This window comes from Homo sapiens, chromosome 10 (genome assembly GCF_000001405.40).
Source record: "Homo sapiens chromosome 10, GRCh38.p14 Primary Assembly".
NCBI lineage: Eukaryota > Metazoa > Chordata > Mammalia > Primates > Hominidae > Homo > Homo sapiens.
This window is the reverse complement of record NC_000010.11, coordinates 60,257,941-60,278,135: the sequence shown is the minus strand read 5'-3', so window position 1 is coordinate 60,278,135 and position 20,195 is coordinate 60,257,941. Positions and strand designations below refer to the sequence as shown.

General features: G+C 37.2%; 1 protein-coding gene across 4 annotated transcripts in view, besides 1 other annotated feature; it reads left to right on the top strand.

Annotated features, from left to right (window-relative positions):
* ANK3 (ankyrin 3) overlaps positions 1-20,195 on the top strand; it is a 707,231-nt gene that overhangs the window by 455,393 nt on the left and 231,643 nt on the right. For all 4 annotated transcript variants that reach the window (NM_001204403.2, NM_001204404.2, NM_001320874.2 and 1 more), the window contains 3 exons: positions 7,907-8,005; positions 14,116-14,301; positions 16,179-16,277. In NM_001204403.2, coding sequence (NP_001191332.1) covers positions 7,907-8,005; positions 14,116-14,301; positions 16,179-16,277 — 384 coding nt within the window. The remainder of the gene's footprint in view (positions 1-7,906; positions 8,006-14,115; positions 14,302-16,178; positions 16,278-20,195) is intronic.
* Positions 19,297-19,798: an enhancer, noted in NCBI's record as "NANOG hESC enhancer chr10:62018096-62018597 (GRCh37/hg19 assembly coordinates)". NCBI's record gives its function as "activates a minimal SCP1, AML or CMV promoter by ChIP-STARR-seq in naive and primed H9 embryonic stem cells {active_cell/tissue: H9 hESC(naive and primed)}" and the evidence as "EXISTENCE:reporter gene assay evidence [ECO:0000049][PMID:30033119]".

Sequence of the window (20,195 nt, the reverse complement as noted above, 5' to 3'; positions counted from 1 at the left end):
AACATAGGTCCTCCTATAAATCTTACATGGTCTTTCATTGAATTTCTAAGAGGAACACCAATAGGTTATCATTTATCATTTGATAGACTTTGAATCTAAAAGAATTAACTTTGCTTTATTATGTTTAAAAATATAGGTCCTCATTATTCAAGTATTCATTATTTGAGTCTCCACAGACAGGTCATGTAGGAAAGCAAACATCATCATAATTCAAAAATATTCACTAAGGACATGACCACATTTAAAACTGGTTCCCACTCAAACATTCCTTCCAGTCGAATGCTGACTTCCATCCTTATTTGTCATTGTCTCCCCAGGGGTGTTGGATATTGAACAAATTGATTGCAGAACAAAACTGCAAGTTTTGACAAAGACACTAAGTTTCCTGAAGTCAAGGAAAGTGATATTGGAGAACTTCTGGGTGCACAGCTGAGCTGTGGGTACATGGCACACTCTGGCAGTATTAGGCTAGGAAGCATGTGAAAAGTTAGGATGATTTCCTGTTAGCGGTTTCATATAAGAATGATTTGAAAATACATAGATTAAATGAAGACAAAAAGATAAGTGAGATCTTTGGATGGCAAATACTTCTTCCAAAAGATGGTCTTTTTTGCTTATGCTATGAAAATTAAAAAGTGAAGAATGTCAACATATATCATTTTGTTGGGAAAAATAACACTTGGTTTAGTCTTTGTTCATTCTGAGAACATATATGAATCCAGTTATAACTTACATTTTATTAAATCATATAAGCCTATTTTTATAATTTCCAGTTTTATCTTTTAAGAGTAAGTCTGAATCAAACTTTACAAAATTATTTACTATGGCCTTTTGCTCTCCATTTTAAATGCACTTGATTTTACCAGGATTTTCTAGTATGATTATCTTTGGATATTGGGAGTCTCCTCTGTTTTATGGGTTCACAGAATTGTAGTGACTTCCTCCCCTGCTTACTACCGACATAGCAGTGATAGCTCTGATGCCATCAAATGTCAGAGTCAAAGAAAAGGAACTGCACAGTGCTTCCAACTGCATGGTTCTTGTATATTTGCTCTAAATTAATTCTAGATCCCTGTTACATGATCTATGCCAATTATTCTGATTCCCTAGGAGAGTTCTCTTGGAGTAATAATGCTTTTCCAGAAAGGAATGATGTAAAATTGAATAGCAACAAGTATGGTACTTTGAGAGAGACACAGACCAGCTTACTACAATAGAAGCATCATGCTTTTAAACGGATGTTTTTCAAAATACCCCAATAATATTTTACTGAAATGTGGCTAGGTAGTTTTAGGCTCTGAGATAGTGGGAAAACTCTTTAATCCATTTTCATTTCTTTTATTATTTTCTCAAGGGAGGAAAAAATCAACCTAATCAACCTCCTCCTTTCAAACATCACATCCATTATTGACTATTAATGGTTAGAGTAGCCATGGTTTTAAACTGGCTCGGCAATGTTTGGGAGAAACTGCAGTTGAAATAAAATCCTAATTAGTTCTAATTTCAATTTATACGCATTCCACACCTATGATGCAGTAAGGCAGAAGAACATGTGAAATTCCCTGTTACTTACAGTTGTGCTCGGAATTACCAGCCACACATGGCACAGCAAAGCATTTGCCCCTTCATCTGAACACCTGCCCTCATATGCCTTCTGAACTGCATTGTTCTGTGGATGGAATAAGTAATGAGATGACCCTGCAGAGGAATGGAGTTTCAATGATAATTCCTGGTAACAACTCTTCAGTAGGAACTGTTATAAAGAGTAACAAACAATGATGTCACCTCCATTTAGGAAGCAGCACATAAAACAGGACAGAAATATTAATATTCAAGACAGCATCTCTGTTGACATGAAATTTTAACCTGTAAGTGATATTTAATAGCCAACAAAAAATAGGGTAAAAAGAGCCCCTTACTCTTCTTTACTATAAAAATTCTCCTTATCTTAAATATAAAAATGACATTGGGCAATATCAAGTTCTCATCTTATAAACCAAGGCTCTATAAACTAGGAATTTGTAGATTTTAAAGTAATTTTTGTCATTGCCTTGATCTTAGGTCTTAACAAGTTAACTCTTTCTTTTAGTACTTAACATTCCAGTAATCATTTAGTCCTACTCTGAGAAAGAAATTGAGTTGACTAAATTGTGATTATAAAGAATTCTATTATTAAGTCCTTAATACTTTATATTAGATGTATCAACAATGATTAACAATGTTTGCTATTGAAAAAATCTCAAACTGCACAGTCAAATGACATCCCCCACTCTTCTCTCCTTCTCTGTCTTTATAATATAAAATACCAACTGAATTTATAAAGAAGCAAAGTCTGTTTCCAATAATATTTTAACTACCAAAGTATTTTTAGTGAACAGATTTTTCTAGTGGCATTTGCAAAGGTAAGACCCTTTAGGTTAGCCAGTGCCTCCTTGGTCTTTCTGGGTACTCTGATATTCCCTATGGTGGGAAAGTCGGATCCTGACAAAGTTAGACAGTACAAGTATGGGACTTTGGTTATGGTTCAGATTGAGCCTCTGTGACCTTATATTGCACCTCTAATCTAACTGACCTTCATGAAAATTAGTAACGTATATGAATCAATGCAAATCTTTCACCATACCCTTAACATCTTAGTTAAAAACAGCACTTTATGATGTGCAAAGGCTGGCCATAGAAAACTAGAATGAGTAGAAAAATTTCATGGATGAAATTTAAGCCCTTTTCCAAATGAAGTCATAGGAATACTTATTATTTCATTTTGATGTGTATTAGACAGCATGCCTCAGTACTATCTACAAAATTATAAGTCTGCAGATTTGCATGCTTATAATAGCACCACTATAAACATTCAGAGCAGAAGGTATTGAATATATTGGATAAAATCAGACTTCAAACAGCATACTCGTTCCATCTTAAGCTGCTCTGCCTTTTGAGAATTTAATCTGTTGTTGCTACAGAAAAGAAAATGCAAATTGGGCACCCATATATTCCTTTTTAGCTACCTTTGTTTTGGAAATGTTCTAAGTTAGGAAATTGTTATAAAAACAGTGGTGTACTTTTTTCTCTTATTTTGAAATCTGACCATTCTCCCAATCCATGTGCCATTTCACAGCAAACAGTTATGGCTCTAGGTTGTCTAATGACAACACATTGAGTTAATGATGCCTCAACCTCTTTGAGCTAGGGAGTGATGGCAATATTTTTATTCGCTCTTTCCAAAGAACACTTCTAATTTTCTCTCTAGAATCATAACTAAATGGTTATGTATGTGTTCTCATGTCTTGACCATTTCTTGAGACATAAAATTTGTAATTTTGGGGTGTTACTTGAATTACAGGGAGAGAAACTAACTTAAGCACAAGAGGGAATTTATTGGAATTAGTTAAGGAACACAGAGAATAGAAAGCTAAAGAATCTTTCAGAAAGCTTTGGAAACCCAATAGCTGGGGTGGAGAGTGGGAGAACAGAGTGAGAAGAAAGAGAGTAGGATTACCCTTTGACCTGGTTCCTACAGGTCAATCAAGACTGGAGAGGGAGAATCAAGGGTGGACCTAAAAGAGAAAACAGAAGATAGCCTGCATGTGTGTCTACCCTGTAATTAATGAAGGGCAAGCTTCTCTGTCTCAGTCCATCCAGGACAAGTCCTACCTGCATAATGGGGAATAGGTAATTCTCTGAAAGAAAATAGGGGTGACATTGTCCTGAAGGGGAAATGGGTGTGTGGGCACTGGTGACCAAAACTAAAGCAAAATAAAACAAACACCCATGCACTACAAATGACCACTGTAAAATTGAAATTTCCACCATGAAACACTCACCAAAAACATTTTATCAATATAGATAGCAGAAATAGCATAAGAAGGCCAAGCACAGTGTTCATGCCTGTGATCTTAGCACTTTGGGAGGCCAAAGAAGGAGGATCACTTGAGGCCAGAATTTGAGACTAGCCTCAGCAACATAGTGAGACCCTATCTCCACAAAAATACAAATAAAAAAGCCAGATGTGGTAGTGCATGCCCATAGTCCTAGCTACTCAGGAAGCTAAGGGTGGAGAATCGCTTGAGCCCATGTTAAGGCTGCAGTGAGCTATAATCACACGACTACACACCAGGCTGGGCAATAAGAGCAAGACCCTATCTGTATTAGCTTGTTCTGATGCTGCTAATAAAGACATACCCAAGACTGGGTAATTTATAAAGGAAAGAAGTTTAATTGACTCATAGTTCCACATGGCTGAGAAGGCCTCACAATCATGGTGGAAGGCAAATAAGGAGCAAAGTCACATTTTACATGGTGGCAGGCAAGAGAGCTTGTGCAGGGAAACTCCCATTTATAAAACCATCAGATCTTATGAGACTTATTCACTACCACAAGAACAGTGTGGGGGAAACCCCCCCCATGATTCAATTATCTCCACCTGGCCCCGCCCTTGATACCTGGGGATTATTACAAGTCAAGGTGAGATTTGGGTGGGGACACAGCCAAATCATATCACTATCTCTTAAGAAAATTAAAGAAATAGTATCAGACCATTCAAGGACAGATATCATATGATTCTGTTTATATAGAATATCCAGAATAGGCAAAACTAGAGAGAGAAAGTGCATTAGTGGTTACTAGGGGGAAATGGGGAGTGATCACTAAGGAGTATAGAGGGCTTCTTTTTGGGGTGATGAAAATATTCTAGAATTAGATAGTGGGAAGGGTTGCCCAATTTTATGAATATACTTAAAGCCACTAAATTGTACACTTTTAAAAGGTGAGCTTTATGATATGCAAATTATATATTAATAAACAAATATTTTAAAAATCAAAAAACAAGGAAGTATGTAACTGTTCAGAAAATGACCAACTTTCAGGTAATAATCTTAGGATGGCAAGCACTCAAAAAGAAAGTAGAAAGCTATTGTGGAAAAGGAAAACAATGAATTATAGGGCTGCATCTTGCTGTGGCTGTTGTCTACAAATATTTCTAAGTAGTCCTAATTCTGTGCATCTCAGTTTCTGTCATCATAAAACAGGGCATGTAGAGTGATTTCAGAGTTGTGCCTTTTAAGAATAACTCTTGAGAAACTCCCGGTCTGTAAGAAAGCATTACCTTAAAACCCAGTGCCTGAGTCTGGGCTTTCTTCATGGATCCTGAAATGGTTGGTTCTGGAAGGAAACTGTGAGAACAGTGGACACTCACTAGAGCCAGAGATGTGTGGATAGACTAGTGTTTCTTAGGCAATCTTGGGCCACAGCAGACCTCCACCCCAACATTGAGAACGAACTGACATTACTTGTCTTGACATAAATATCTTGTTGATATTCATGTCTGAAAGAAAAACACTTATTTTGGAATTAAAAAAAAAAAGGTGGGTGTGGTGGCTCATGCCTGTAATCCCAACACTTTGGGAGGCTGAGGCAGATGGAACATGAGGTCAGGAGATCAAGGCCATCCTGGCCAACATGTTGAAACCCCACCTCTGCTAAAAATACAAAAATTAGCCGGGCGAGGTGGCACATGCCTGTAGTCCCAGCTACTTGGGAGGCTGAGGCAGGAGAATCTCTTGGACCTGTTAGGTGGAGGTTGCAGTGAGCTGAGATCTCACAACTGCACTCCAGCTTGGGCGACAGAGTGAGACTCTGTCTCAACAAAAAAAAAACAAACAAGAACAACAACAACAACAACAACAAAAAACTTCTAAAAATCTGAACCTGCCCTCTGGAAGTTTCAGCTTTCGGAGAGAGCACTTGATGAGGGAAGATAGATGCTTAGTACCTAGTTTAGCTATGAGAAAAAGCCATACTGGTTTTGGCCTTTTCTTTTCTTTTCTTGTTTTGTTGCTTAAAGAATATTTAAATTAACTAAGGATGTAATGATCTTTCATTTTGGTCCAATTAGAAAATGAGAAAATAGCAATATGATGAGGATAATCCTAAACTCCCTTTGAATTTCACTCATAGCGTCATAGCACTGGGAAGAGGGACAAAGATGAAAGACACACGGACCTATGGGCATGCACACACACACACACACACACACACACACACACACACAAATCCCACAGTGTTCCAAGTACTCCATGCTTCATGTTTAAATGTGGTAGAATGTTTCATGATAAAACAGAGTAACAGTGGGCTCCAGAGATATTATCAGGTAGACAATTTAAAAGGAAGAAGATTGAATGTGATGTTGCATTCCACTGCCTCTAATTTTGTGTTTCTAATCTTGAGCTTGGCAACTAGATCACCTAACTTGTTACAATTCTGTGCCAAATAGAGGAAGTAGAATAGAGGAACTCTCTGATAAGTACATAGCTATGGTGGATTTGTTATGTGGCATCGCATTTATCTGCTTGAGGATCTTTTTAACTTACTTTCTAATTCTCAGTTATAAGCCAAAAGCAGTGTGTTTGCCAGAGGCTGAACTTATGGATAAGTAAGGTGATCATATAGTAGTTGATATTTATAATAATGAACCTAAACTTTTTGAATCACAAAAGGTTGAATATTTGGTAACATTGTAGTTTAGAATATATTTACTTTTATTCTTTGAAATTGCGTAATGTATACAGTAAAATTTCTGGAACATTCAGTTAAATAGAACTGCATTCTGAAAAGTATATTCAAAAAGAATTTACTGGCTCGGTGCAGTGGCTCACACCTATAATCAAGCACTTTGAGAGGCCAAGGCAGGCAGATGGCTTGAGCTCAGGAGTTCAAGCCCATGCTGGGTGACACAGGGAGACCCAGTCTCTATAAAAAATAAAAATAAATTAGCCAGGTGTGGCGGTGCATGCCTGTAGCCCCAGCTACTTGGGAAGCTGAGGCAGAAGGATCGTTTGAGCCCAGGAGATTAAGGCTGCAGTGAGCTGTGACGATACCCCGGCACTCCATTTGTTTATTATTATTATTATTTTGATACAGAGCAATGGAGCGAGACCCTGTCTCAAAATAATAATAATAAAAGAATTATAGTTTGAAAATTGTTTGATGCTTATATCTTGCAATAAGATTTTAAAATAGTATAGTATTTCATAGATATGAAATACATTATTCTAGAGAAAAAATATATATACAACATTTTTTTAGTAGGAAAAGATGTAATATGCATATTAATTTGCTTGAATCCAAATTCTTTGAGAGTTGATGCACATTTCAGAGAGGCACACAGACACATTCAAACTAAATATATGTGCATATGTATGTACATGTAATATGTATCCATATATGTATTCTGAACATTAAACTACCTTAGCAAAAAAACACAAAGAAAGGAGGCCTACAAAAAACAGACTGTGAATTAGATTGAATCATACCATTATGCAAATCGGCATTTCTTTTTTGCTCTTAAAGACCACATCTGTGGTAACTTTGAAGCTATTTGAAGCTATTTGAAAAGCTTTGAAGCTATTTGAGATTAATATAAATTCCTCCCTGAACTAGTCAAAACTAGTTCAGATACTTTTGTGTGAAAATATTACATGTTTATTTAAAACAGATAATTGATGCTTGGGAGCTACAGTGACTAAATGTGTTTTTCTTCATAGTCTCATAGCATCTAGTAAAATACTTACTCATGGTAGACTCTCAATAAGTGGTTGATGACTAAGTGAGTGTACTTATTTCTTTAAAGTGGGTAAATTGCTTTGAATTATACTTGGACTATTAACTATGAACTATTAACTATGAGCTATACTCAAATTATGAATTATGAAATATAATTTTGAATTACACAGATCAGGAATTTAGCTTAAGCCATGGTGCTTGGGTTTTCTAATAAATATTTATATCTATATGAAAGTATTATTAAAGTTATTGTATGTGAGCACTTCTTGGAGCATAAATCATCAGTACCATGGAAAAATAGATTGTCTCTGGAAAGCTGCAGACAAACATTTTTTTTCTTATTTTGCAGAATGGTTTCACGCCATTGTATATGGCAGCCCAGGAAAATCACCTGGAAGTTGTCAAGTTTCTTCTTGACAATGGTGCAAGCCAGAGCCTAGCCACAGAGGTAAGATACTGTTTTTTTCCTGTGGGTGAGTTCACGTATTTATAGGGCATTTTGAAAACCTGGAGTTGTGAATTTGTCCTACTAGTATTTCAATTGAAGTTTTATATTAATGTGTGGGTTCATAAGTTTTATGAAATACATTACTATAAGTCTACTTTTAATTTTTACAAATCTTCTGTTGCATAGATACTCTTTCTACTCTTAAATGCCCGATTCTATGCTATAATTATGCTATTATTTTAATATTTAACGTATTTGCTTGAGAATTCTTTTCTGTCTCTTACAATTTTGGCTTATAGGCAAAGGCAATCATTGTTTTGGAGTAATTGATGTGAACTATCTTTTCAATAAAACATTAGTTTTAAATTGTTTTTCCAAATTTAAGTTTACCTAATTATAATGATTGAATTTGTATTTTTTAAGTTAACTAGACTTAATTCATAGTTATAAATAAAACTATGGTACTTTTTTTGGGGGGGGGGAGGGGGGATGGAGTCTCACTCTGTCACCTAGGCTGGAGTGCAAAGGCGTAATCTCAGCTCACTGCAACCTCCGCCTCCCGGGTTCAAGCAATTATCCTGCCTCAGCCTCCCGAGTAGCTGGGATTACAGGTGCCCACCACCCACACATGGCTAAATTTTGTGCTTTTAGTAGAGACAGGGTTTCACCATCTTGGCCAGGCTGGTCTTGAACTCCTGACCGCGTGATCCACCCGCCTCGGCCTCTCAAAGTGCTGGGATTACAAGTGTGAGCCACCACGCCCAGCCAAAACTATTACACATTTTTAAGTGTTAAATAGATGTGGTATTTGAAGAAAAAAAATCTTTGCTGTCTAGAATAGAATAATTATTTAAAAATAGAAAGTTATTTAGGCCATTGGCACTGTCTTAGGTAATGTTGTTTATTTTTTAAACTAATCTGGATGGAAGACTGGAATCACTTAAGCATGTCACCAGATATCTATTGCTAATAATAAAGGATCAATATTTGAGTATTTTTTATTTCTAACAACACAGTGAATTAGGGCAGATGCAGGGTTATCCCTATTATAAACCACTACTCTTGCTTGCATGCTGATGTGCTTCCTGAATAGCACAGAAAAGATGGCAGTAGATAAACTGCATCTAATCTCACTTAGTTTTTGAGATTATACCTTCTAGGGAAACCACTAAATAAATTAAGAGATAGCTCACAGAAAACATACACAAACAAACATAAATATATGAAAATTTCTCATCCTCATTTATAGTCAAATACTAATTTATTAGTCAGATACAAAATAAGATCTAATCTTTTGCCCATGAGACTAAAAACAAAAATTTCATGGGGAGAGGAAACCAGAACTTTCCTACAATACTGGTGAAATTGATTGTTGGTTACAACACTTTTACAGAACATTTGGCAGTAACTATCAAAAACTAGTATTTACAAGCCTTTTTACTTAGCAGCTGCACTTCTAAAAAGTTATATTATAGAAATATTAGATATATCAAATATATATTATAGATATGTTTGCATTAGGATGCAAAAATAGTATAAAGGATGTTTGTCAACACAATTAATAATAGCAATTTTTAAAAATCAGAATCTAAATTTACACCAATAAGAATCCTGTTTATTCAGAACTATTTGGCTTGGAAAGAAAAAAGAAACCTGTTAGTAAATGTTCATATATTTATACAATAACACGCTGTTAGCACTGTTAAAAACGAGGCAAGGCTCTATGTACTGATATAGGAAAATGTCCATAGTAGATTGTTACCAGTGGTTTGCCCTGAGAATTCGGAGGGAGCCTTTGTACCCATCAGTACTGTTGGGAATTTTTATACATATTTTTTTATTTTATACCCATCAGTGCTTTGGGGAATTTTTATCATGAGAATGTACTATTTTTGTAATAGTATTCTTAAAGCTAGTTAGGAAATAACCACTGGTTGATATCAAAATAACAAACATTTAGCCGGGTGCAAGGGCACACACCGGTAGTCCCAGCCCCTCAGGAGGTAGAGACAGGAGGCACTTGAGCCTAGAAGTTTGAGGATACAGTGCTCTGTGGTTGCACCTGTGAGTAGTCGCTACACTCCAGCCTGGGCAACAGTGAGACCCTGTCTCTAAACAAACAAAAAAGAACAAACTTGCTAGGCAGAGAACGGTGCCTCTCTTCACACTCAAGAGTAGCTATTCTAAGCACACTACGATACACACATTGTGTCCTAGCGGACAGGGGAAATAGAGACAGGCAGAGACTGTTGGTTAAGAGAAAACCCATCCTCATTTTTTGGATGGAAATATTAAGTACTGTAAATAACCTAATGAAAGTGATTCCATAGCTTTCTTTGTGAAGATGGCGTAGGACTCTTTTTTCACACTGTGATGTACGGATCACTAAGTATCTCTCCTTTAGAAGCAAACATAACCCCAATTTACTGCTAATAGATTAGAATTAGATTGTAAACCAATTACCAGTAACTCTCAGAGCTCTCTAGTACTTTTTAAAGTTTTCAAGGCCCCAAAAGAAGCCCTACAGCTAACTTAAAGAAAAATAGTACGTGAGATCTTCAAATCACTACTTCAGTCTTTTAGCAAAGGATATATATTTTAAAGTTTTTACTCTTTTACATTGATTTAATTTCATGTTATTTTTGTAGTTTTAAGGGAAAAAACAAGAAACATGGTGTCTATTAAGTCACGTTCATGTCTTCAGGGAGGTTGCTGTTATATTGCTATATAAACAACATCTAATTACCTAGAGATGTTTGAACCTTTGAATTTTTTCTCTTCTTTTGGATTATTGGAATTGGAGAATAAGAACAACAACAGGAAATAAGACATTTTATTCAAATGATATTCTAATTACTGTATTGCTCTCTCATTAGCAATAATATTGGTGTTATTTATAGAGAAGTCTGTATTTACAGAACAAACAGTAGGGGGCAATTAAAGGATCCTTTAAATAGCAAGTTTTTAATAGAATCTTTAATTCACTACACGATGGGATATTGCCAAATTCTTTCAAATGTATTTTTTTCAGTAAGCCTGGCACACTTCAAATCTTGTATATATGTAGCAAGACTTAAGTATAATTGTGGTTTTTAAAACGTTTTTGTATTACTGTGTACTGCATCTCATATCTTTTCTCTCTATATATAATCTTCCTTTTGCTAATTACGATTCTGAAGCACACAGTATATTTGTTTGTTCGTTTATTCCATGAGTAATTATTAAGCACCTATTATGTTTCAGACACTTCATAAGGTACTGGATATCCTTGAGCAACCAGGGGATGGACCTTTTTTCCAGTAGCCTCTATCACATTTCCTTTCTGCTCATTTTTCTCTGAAGAATAACTGCACAAAGCAAACCACACCATTTAAACTTGGTTTTGAAACAAAATCTGGAGCTGCTAATTTTAGCTATTAACACCTTAGAGCTGGTATCTTTGTGTCTTTAATTGGCTTATGCAGGAAACATATTCTTGTCACTGCTAATCGGCTCAGTTGCAGTTTATTTTCTGGTACAAAGTAGTTTCCTTTATGTATAGGTCCTGTGAATTTTAAAATTCTCATCAGTGGAAATGTAGCCATTTTGTTTGGTTTCAGAGCAGAAGTGGACTGTCATTTTTACCCCTTAGCTTTTGTTCAGGTTTTTTAAGTGAGATGCAAAATTAAATCTCAAAACACAATTTTCCTTTTGCCACACTCTTATTTAAACAATGCATATTTTCTTTTTTTTGCAAAAGTAATACATTACATAAATGAGAAAGTACAATAAGAAGCAAGAAATCTCTGTTAATTTTCCCTAGAGATAACATTTTACCCGATTGCTTGCACATGTACACATTAGATACATGTATGTACCTTTATGAAAATGAAAATATATATTTACATTGACATGTAGACTACTTTTCTTGTTATATCCTAAAGTTCCTGTCTTTAAGTGTAAACCTATGATATCGTTTTTGTGACATCTTGGATGTATCTAGTCTTTCCCTGTTTGTTATCTTTCTTAAGGCTTCAGGGAATAACCTTCTAGTTGTTTTGGTTATGTTATTGTTTTCCTTTTTCCTGCTGTCTTTGGTAGTAAAGTTAAAAGAAACAGGTGGCATTTAAGCCAGATCTTGAAGCATGGAGGGTAGAGGGGATTTGTATACATAGAGAAAAGAAGAGGGCATTTCAGGGTGGGGGAAATAGCATGAGTACAGGTGTCAGAGGAGAGTGAAGTCTGTACGTGCATAATCAGTACAGACACTGGCAGAAAGGACTTTATAGGGGACAGTACTGAGCAATAATGTCCCTTAAGTGCTTTGGGTCAATGTTTTGCACATCTTGGATATAAGTATGCTGATTTGCATTCAGTCAGATGAATTATGAGAGCCTTTCTCCATATGCTAGCAAGGGAAGGAATGTTGAAAGGGATGTTTTAGGAAGACCTTGGTGCATATGTGCTCCTATGTGTTTTCCAAATGCTTTTCTTTACCATGGGACTACAGAAATAAAATATCATGACCCAAATAAAATAATAAGTAACTTGCATGCCAGTTCTCTAGTTAAAAAAAAAATGCCCTTTTGAGTATATAATAATGAAACCTTTGCAGAATTACAATTTGTGAGCCAGTCCTAGGATTTTTCTACCCTGTGCTGTTTTTTCTACATTCAACAACTCTAGGTAATCCACAAGTTAATTTCACTGCAGTGAAATCTGTAGCTGTGTCCCCTTTATCAAGTCCCAGGGCAACACAAAGGGGAGAGTCAAAATGTATAGAGTATGTATGTGTGCACTTATGTCTGAATTTATTCTAAAGTCGTGTTTTAATCAAATTCTTAGAAGCAGAGAGGAACATGGTGGTTACCAGAGGCTAGGAACTGGGAGTAATGGGGAGACAGGAGGTAATGGTCAATGAGGAGGGATAAGTTTTTGTTTTTATTTTGCTTTTTTTGAAATTTATTGCACAACTTGATTAACAGAGTTAGTAATAATGTATTGTACATATCAAAATTGCTAAGACAATAAAGTTCAAATGTTCTCACCACAAAAAAATAAGTGTGGTAATGAAGATGTTACTTAGCTGGATTTGTCCACATTGTATTCATAAGTCATAATATCACTTGTACCCCTATAAATATTTATAATTTTTAATTTAAAATAAAATTTAAAAAGAAAAAAGACAATAACCAGAATAAATATATAGAGTCATGTTTTGCATGATCTTTGTGTTGTCTTCTCTCAATGGTCACAGAAGCCAAGAGTCTTTCTCTTAGCTCTAGAGACCTTAGCCTCTATAGATCTTTCATAAAGCAACAATGAGTACAGTTCATGAATTCACCTATCCTGACAGCACCAGGAATATGCGAGGCAACAGGGCACAGTAATGAACCAGACAGACATACATCTCAGTTTTTAAAAATCAGTGGAAATGTTTACATCTTATTTAAATGATCTCCTTTGAAAACTTTGCCTGGATTTAGCCTGAGATTTTTTTTTTTCTTTTTTTTTTTTGACAGAGTCTTGCTCTGTCACACAGGTGAAATGGCATGGTCTTGGCTCACTGCAGTCTCCACCTCCCAGATTCAAGCTATTCCTCTGTCTCAGCCTCCCAAATAGCTGAGACTACAGGCATCCACCACCCTCGGCCAATTTTTGTATTTTTAGTAGAGACGGGGTTTCACAATGTTGATCATGCTGGTCTCGAACTCCTGACCTCTGGCAATCTGGCCGCCTCTGCCTCCCAAAGTGCTGAGATTACAGGCATGAGCCACCGCACCTGGCCCTGAGATTATTTTATGAATATTGATATTATAGCAACTTTTTCTTTTATATGTAGTATTTTTGTACACTTTCAAAATTTTCCCAATTAATGTATATTAATTTTTAATGGAAAAGAAAACCAAAACCCATGAACTTATTACAAATTTCTTAGTATTTTTTACTTTGTATAGATAAATTTTTTTTGAAAATATCTTTCACATTTCTGTCCATTCAAATATGTTGTTAGTTTTAATAATCCCAAACAAAAATTGATGCTTGGTCACTTGGTTGCCTTCTTATTTGTTAATTTAATAAAAAAGAAAATATTCATTGGAGCCCATCTTGACCCATCCATTTATTTGCAGGATGGCTTCACACCATTGGCAGTGGCTTTGCAACAAGGTCACGACCAAGTCGTTTCGCTCCTGCTAGAGAATGACACCAAAGGAAAAGTGCGTCTCCCAGCTCTTCATATCGCGGCCCGAAAAGACGACACGAAAGCCGCCGCCCTGCTGCTGCAGAATGACAACAATGCAGATGTGGAATCAAAGGTGAGGCACGAGGGACACGGGCCTGTCATGCAACTCTCCGGTGTTAGACACACAACCTTTAAGAGCACCCGGTCTCCCTCTTCGCAAGCTTATGCCATGCCTTTAACTTCATTGAAGGGAGGAACAATGTGTGTCTGAGCTAGCCACTGAAGGCACAGCCTCCCTTCACATGAGAAGTTGGGGGGTGAGGGGAATGCGGCCCTATGCGTGCTAAAAGGGAGGCCACCTCAGAAGAAATCAATTTCTATGCAGTGATCATTTCTTTCCTTTGAATATAGTTTTGGAATATATTCAACAGTTCAGCTCAAACATCAGGGCGAAAAATTACAAAATACTGAAGACAGTGTACACAAACAAACCTCTGGTTGATACCCAAGATGACAGGCCAGGCACTGAGCGTAGATCAGCTGCGGAAAGCATGCCAGCAGCAAGAGAGCCGCAGCCAAAAATTCCCATCGTCTTGACATGTGGTACCTGAAAGTCTCTGTGACGGAAATGTGACATTTGGACTAGGCCGTTGCGTAGCCCATCATTCAGTCTAGCTTTCTTTCTGTGCCTATTGTGCTTTCATCAGAGCTTCCATCCTCATTACTTAGCTGTCATGAGCTTTCTGCAATCCATATCACCAATAGTGAACTAACCGTTCATTTTTTCCTCCTCTTTGCTTCCAAATGTGTTAACCTAGATGGTGGTGAATAGAACAACAGAGGTATATATATATATGCATATACGTGTAGTCTATATCTGCATCATCATTTTCCCATGACTTAGTGCTGCTGCCTCATGTCTCTCCCTTCTTCTTTGCATCGCCTTCTGTAGGCTAGATACCTGCTTTATCCCCAATCCCTCCTCTCCCCAAAGGAGCATGTGCCAGATAAGATAGCAGTAGTTTGATTACCAGGGCTTTCTGCAGCTGAACCTGGTGTTTGAAAGAGATGAGGAATCCTTGACTCTTAAGGGTATTGCAATAGAGCTGTGTGAGATGAAGAGTCTGGACACTTTAGATGTTTATCAGCTATATCTAAAGCTGCAGACAACCCTGTCATTCTACTCATCCAGGACTCGTTTTTTAGGGTTGTGCATGACACTTACCCTCTGTGGTGTCAGCAAAAGGAAAGGTATTTCAGAATGGTGTCAATATGACCCACCCTTCTACAAGACTCAGTGAGATAGCTAGCATGGCTAAGAAGCTTGCTAACAAATTAGAAATGCATCTAGTTCCTATAAGGTTTCAATCTTTGGGGACTAAGTGAATCGCTGCATGTTTTAGCATTTTTTAAGGAAGTAAAATGACCTTGGTATGAACAATCCAAAAACATGTGTTATTGAATAGGCATTGGCTAACAAAGAGATTAACTTGTGGATTCTTCATGGAATACAATTGCCCATTATATAAAACCAACTTTGTGGTAGTACGTCTTCCCCCCAAAACTGCTTTTGTCATGAAAATTGGCATTTACTGTTCAGTAATATGAATCTATATCAAATATATAAACTAATTGAATTTTGAGTTTCAATGCACAATTCTATCGTCAGTAATAAAACAGCGGCACTAATCAAGCTATCAGCTATAAAGATTTTTCTCATCTCTATCTTAATTTCTTGAAATGTTGGCTTTTATATAGTTCTGTTATTGGATTACTAAAATTGCTCAGTCTCCACCCTTGGTTCCTCCCTGGCTATTCTTCTGCCTGTAAGTTTGGGGTTTATTAGAAACCCTGTGAGCAATTGGCACTGATCGAAACCTAGTACAGAATGGAACATAGACCTCAGCATATTTTGCTTCCTCATTTTTATTTGGGCAGGGTTATGATATTTGCCTGTCAGGCAGGGGGCTGGCAGGAATCAATTGAATGTCTGCTATGTTTTCTTTACAGAGTGGCTTCACTCCGCTCCACATAGCTGCTCACTATGGAAATATCAATGTAGCCACGTTGCTGTTAAACCGAGCGGCTGCTGTGGATTTCACCGCAAGGGTAAGAGCACAGCAATGTGTAATACCTTTAAAGCATTTGCAACTATTTTATACTCTCTTTCCCCAACATGAGGATGTTGGGACAAATTTTCTCCAAGAGTCCTTCCAGTCAGTGAAGGCTATGATTTCTACTCATCCTAGTGTATGTTCTTGATTTTACATAGGTGTGCCTGTTTCCTAGCAGGAGAGGTAAACCAAGATCAGGAATGCTAGCTGGGATGGATGATAAATAAATCTATAAATGCATATATAGAAGATGTGATTCAAGGAATCGTGGCTGGGGACAACAAATAGTTCCCTAAGTTAAAATTTCTGAAACCCTTAGAAATTGGTCAGATGGCACTCAGTGCTCTAGAGATCAGGGTCTTGACCTTACAATGGGAATGTTCTGGAATACCTGGGTGAGGCCTAAACTACAGAATCCAAATAATGAGACCATCTTTTGCCTTTATCTTCTGTCCCCTACAAACTTTCATAATGAGTAACAAGTTGGTGTAACCTGAGTAAGCTCATATCCATTGAAGAAAGGAATTACAATGTCATATGGCCCACTGCACAGCAGGTTGGACATCCAAACATAGTAGCACTGCTCTCAATTTAAAAACTGGTGTTCAGCTTGACCATCAGAAACACTGTTGGAAGTACAAGTGAAGCTGGAGGCAGGATGAAGTAGTGGCTGAAATCCTGGACTCTGAGACTCCTTAGGTTCAAATTTTGGCTTTCACTTTTTTCCCTGTGTCTGTCAGTTTCCTCATTTATAAGATGAGATAATATGAATTATGAAATTAAATAAACAATTATAAAATATCACCTCTCCCTCACTGCGTCACTGAAAATTAAAAGAGATAGCATATGTAAATCACTCAGCCGGTGCCTGATGTAGTATCATCACTAACAGCAGCGGCAGTAGTGTATTAGTCTGTTTTCACATTGCTATAAAGAGGTGTCTGAGATTGGGTAATTCATAAAGAATAGAGGTTCAGTTGGCTCCTGGTTCTGCGGGCTGTACAGGAAGCATGATACTGGCACCAGCTCGGCTCCTGGGGAGGCCTCAGGAAACTTAAGAATAATGGCAGGAGGCGAAGCAGGGACAGGCACATCACATGGCCAGAGCAGGAGCAAGAGAGCAAGAAGAGTGGTGCTGTACACTTTTAAATGACCAGGTCTCATGAGAACTCCCTCACTATCACAAGGACAGCACCAAGCAGATGGTGCTAAACCATTCATGAGAAGTCCTTCCCCATGATCCAATCACCTCCCACCAGACTGCACCTCCAACATGGGACACTACGTTTCAACGTGAGATTTGGGTGGGGACATACATCTACACAATATCAAGCAGCACTGTTATTTTGAACGTAGCATTTGAAGTCTTATTTTTTGCTGAACCCTCACTTCTTAGAAGAGAAATGAAACTAGATTAGATAGGGAGATAGTGTATAATGCTAGCAACAGCAGTACAGTGGTAGTTGCATCAGCAGTAAAAATAATATCATTTCTGAAGTCTTTCCTGACTGTAAGATGCCAGGCTATGCATTTTATCTCACGTATACTAATATAAGGAAAGGTACAGTTTATCCTTATTTTACAGAAGAAGAAACCTAGGTTTAGAGATAAGAAGTAGCTGCTTTAGGATCACAGTGCTAGCAGGTTGGAAGAGGCAGGATTTCAGCCCCAAAGCTCTTAACCACTATTCTCTCCCCTAGGTAACTTAAAGGGGTTTATTTTACTTTCCCTCTTATAATTTGTTAGTTCTATAAAAATTAATAAGGGCTGAGATTGTACTAATAGAAAAGCTATTTCCTATCCTGTTGTCATGAGCTTGCCGAAAGCCTTCATCAGTTTAAATGACTGGAGAGCGTCAGTCAGTTTTATTCACAATTTTTCTTATTGTGTTAACTACATCCTTGATGTGGCAGATCCAAGGCCTAGTTTGACACTTTGAAGGACAAAGCTAAGCCCTTCTTTAAGTCAAGTATAAACAGGGTATGTCAGTGTTGAAGCTGAAGTTCATTTCAAGATGCATTCTTCTGGTTTTATTTCTGTAATTCATAGCATAATAAAACCTCATTAAGTTACATCTTCTAATTAGGACATTCAGAAAATTTATGTCAGGGTGGTGTTTGAAGTTTGTCTTTGTGCCTTTGTTCAGAAATTTTCTGATGTTGCTAAAAACAAGAGGATTAGAGAAATGTTTAAGCAATTTAAGAGGACATATTACAGTATATTCAGACTTTTCCAAGTGATTCTAAAGTGTTCATTTGCATTAAAACAATGACTGTGGTAATGACAAAAGATGCTTATTTATTGATTAAAAATCAGTGGAGACATCAGACCCACGTTGTTAACCTTCCTGAGTTACCATATATGATTTAAAATACTTACACTGTGCTTTTGTTTAAAATATGTTAAAATTCAGACTTTTCACTGATTCAGAAATGCATTTTTCCCAGTCTTTCCTAATTAATGAGGTCTAATAGCATTCTGAGCTGAAGGCTGTGGTGGAATTTGATTTTATTTAATAGGAGGCTTGGGCTGTTGCATATTCCCAAATGAGCTATGCTTCTCTCTGCAGTGGGTGATTGATGACTGGCTTTAGGGTACCTGAGAACTCTTTTTAAAGAGCTTAAACTGAGGCAACTGCCAGCTGCCTCAAGCAATCCATTTGAGGTCCCACATCTGTAGCAATTTTGTTGTATAATAATCTAGCATCTCCACTTTCATATTACAGAGGCTTCTCCCTTCCCAGCTTCCAAGGAGTCTTTCTAGGTCATAGTTCTCTCAAGAAGGTAACAGAAATAGCAGGTGAAAGTAAGAGGCCCCTGAATGCAGACAGGATCAAATTGTATCCAGTCAGAGCAATAAAGGGAGCATTATTAAGCCTCATTTGCTAAGAATTGGCTGCAAATTGTAACCATAAATCATATGCTTCAGAGCTAGGTTTGGAGAGAGGTATTGATGAGGTGGTTAGAAGTAGATTAAAAAACAGCAGCACCCTTTGTCTTGGGGGGCTGCAATTTCTGTTTTCTGCCTGTGACAAAATACAGTAGGGAGTGGAAGATTTAAATCAGTGAAGAAAGAAGTATGACAGATAAAGTCTTGCAGTTCTTTATAGCACTGTAGACTGAGGGAATGTCCCAGAGAGTGACCACCTGCTAGCAAAGAGAGCTGGGGAAGAGGAAGAATGACAACACTTCTGGAATCTTTCCTGCATGCAATAGATGTTCCTTTCCAAAGCAGATAATAGGTAGAAACAAAGGCGATGTGACTGAAGGGAGTAAACAATAGAAGGAATTGCTTTCTGTATTCATTTGTAGTGCCAACTAATTCATGCAGCAGTAAAGCAGGTCCCAGTCAGTGGTGAATGTATACTTCTGAGTAGCAGTTCCGGTAACTGATTTATAGCATACTTAACTGTTTCAATAACACCTTTCCTTCAATTTTTATTATGATGTTTGCATTGTAATTTTACTAGGTATATGTAAGATATCCTGTCTGACATCGTCAATATTTCCTTTTGGATTATCCTTGGAGATCTATTCAGGCTCATGGGTCTGCTGCAGGGAGTTAATGTAGTAGCTGCTGAATGCTGCAATGCAGCGTCAGCATTCTTCATTCTTTGAACTGAGTCTGCTGAGATGGCACTGACACTGTCTGAATTTATGCATGACCCTTGCTCTCTTTGCAAATCATTCTAGCTCTCTTGGGAAAGAGAATGTAACTAAAACATACTAGAGCTAGTACTGATTGTCATTCCAGTAAGGAGCATTTGTGCACTAGAGTAACAAAAGGCCAAATTGTATTATGTGGTTGCCTGCAAAGTTCCCTTTATTGATTGAATAAGATAGATTAATACTTTGCTGGCTGAATTTTTTCATCAAATACAATGGACCACCTAATCTAATCTTCACTCTTGTCA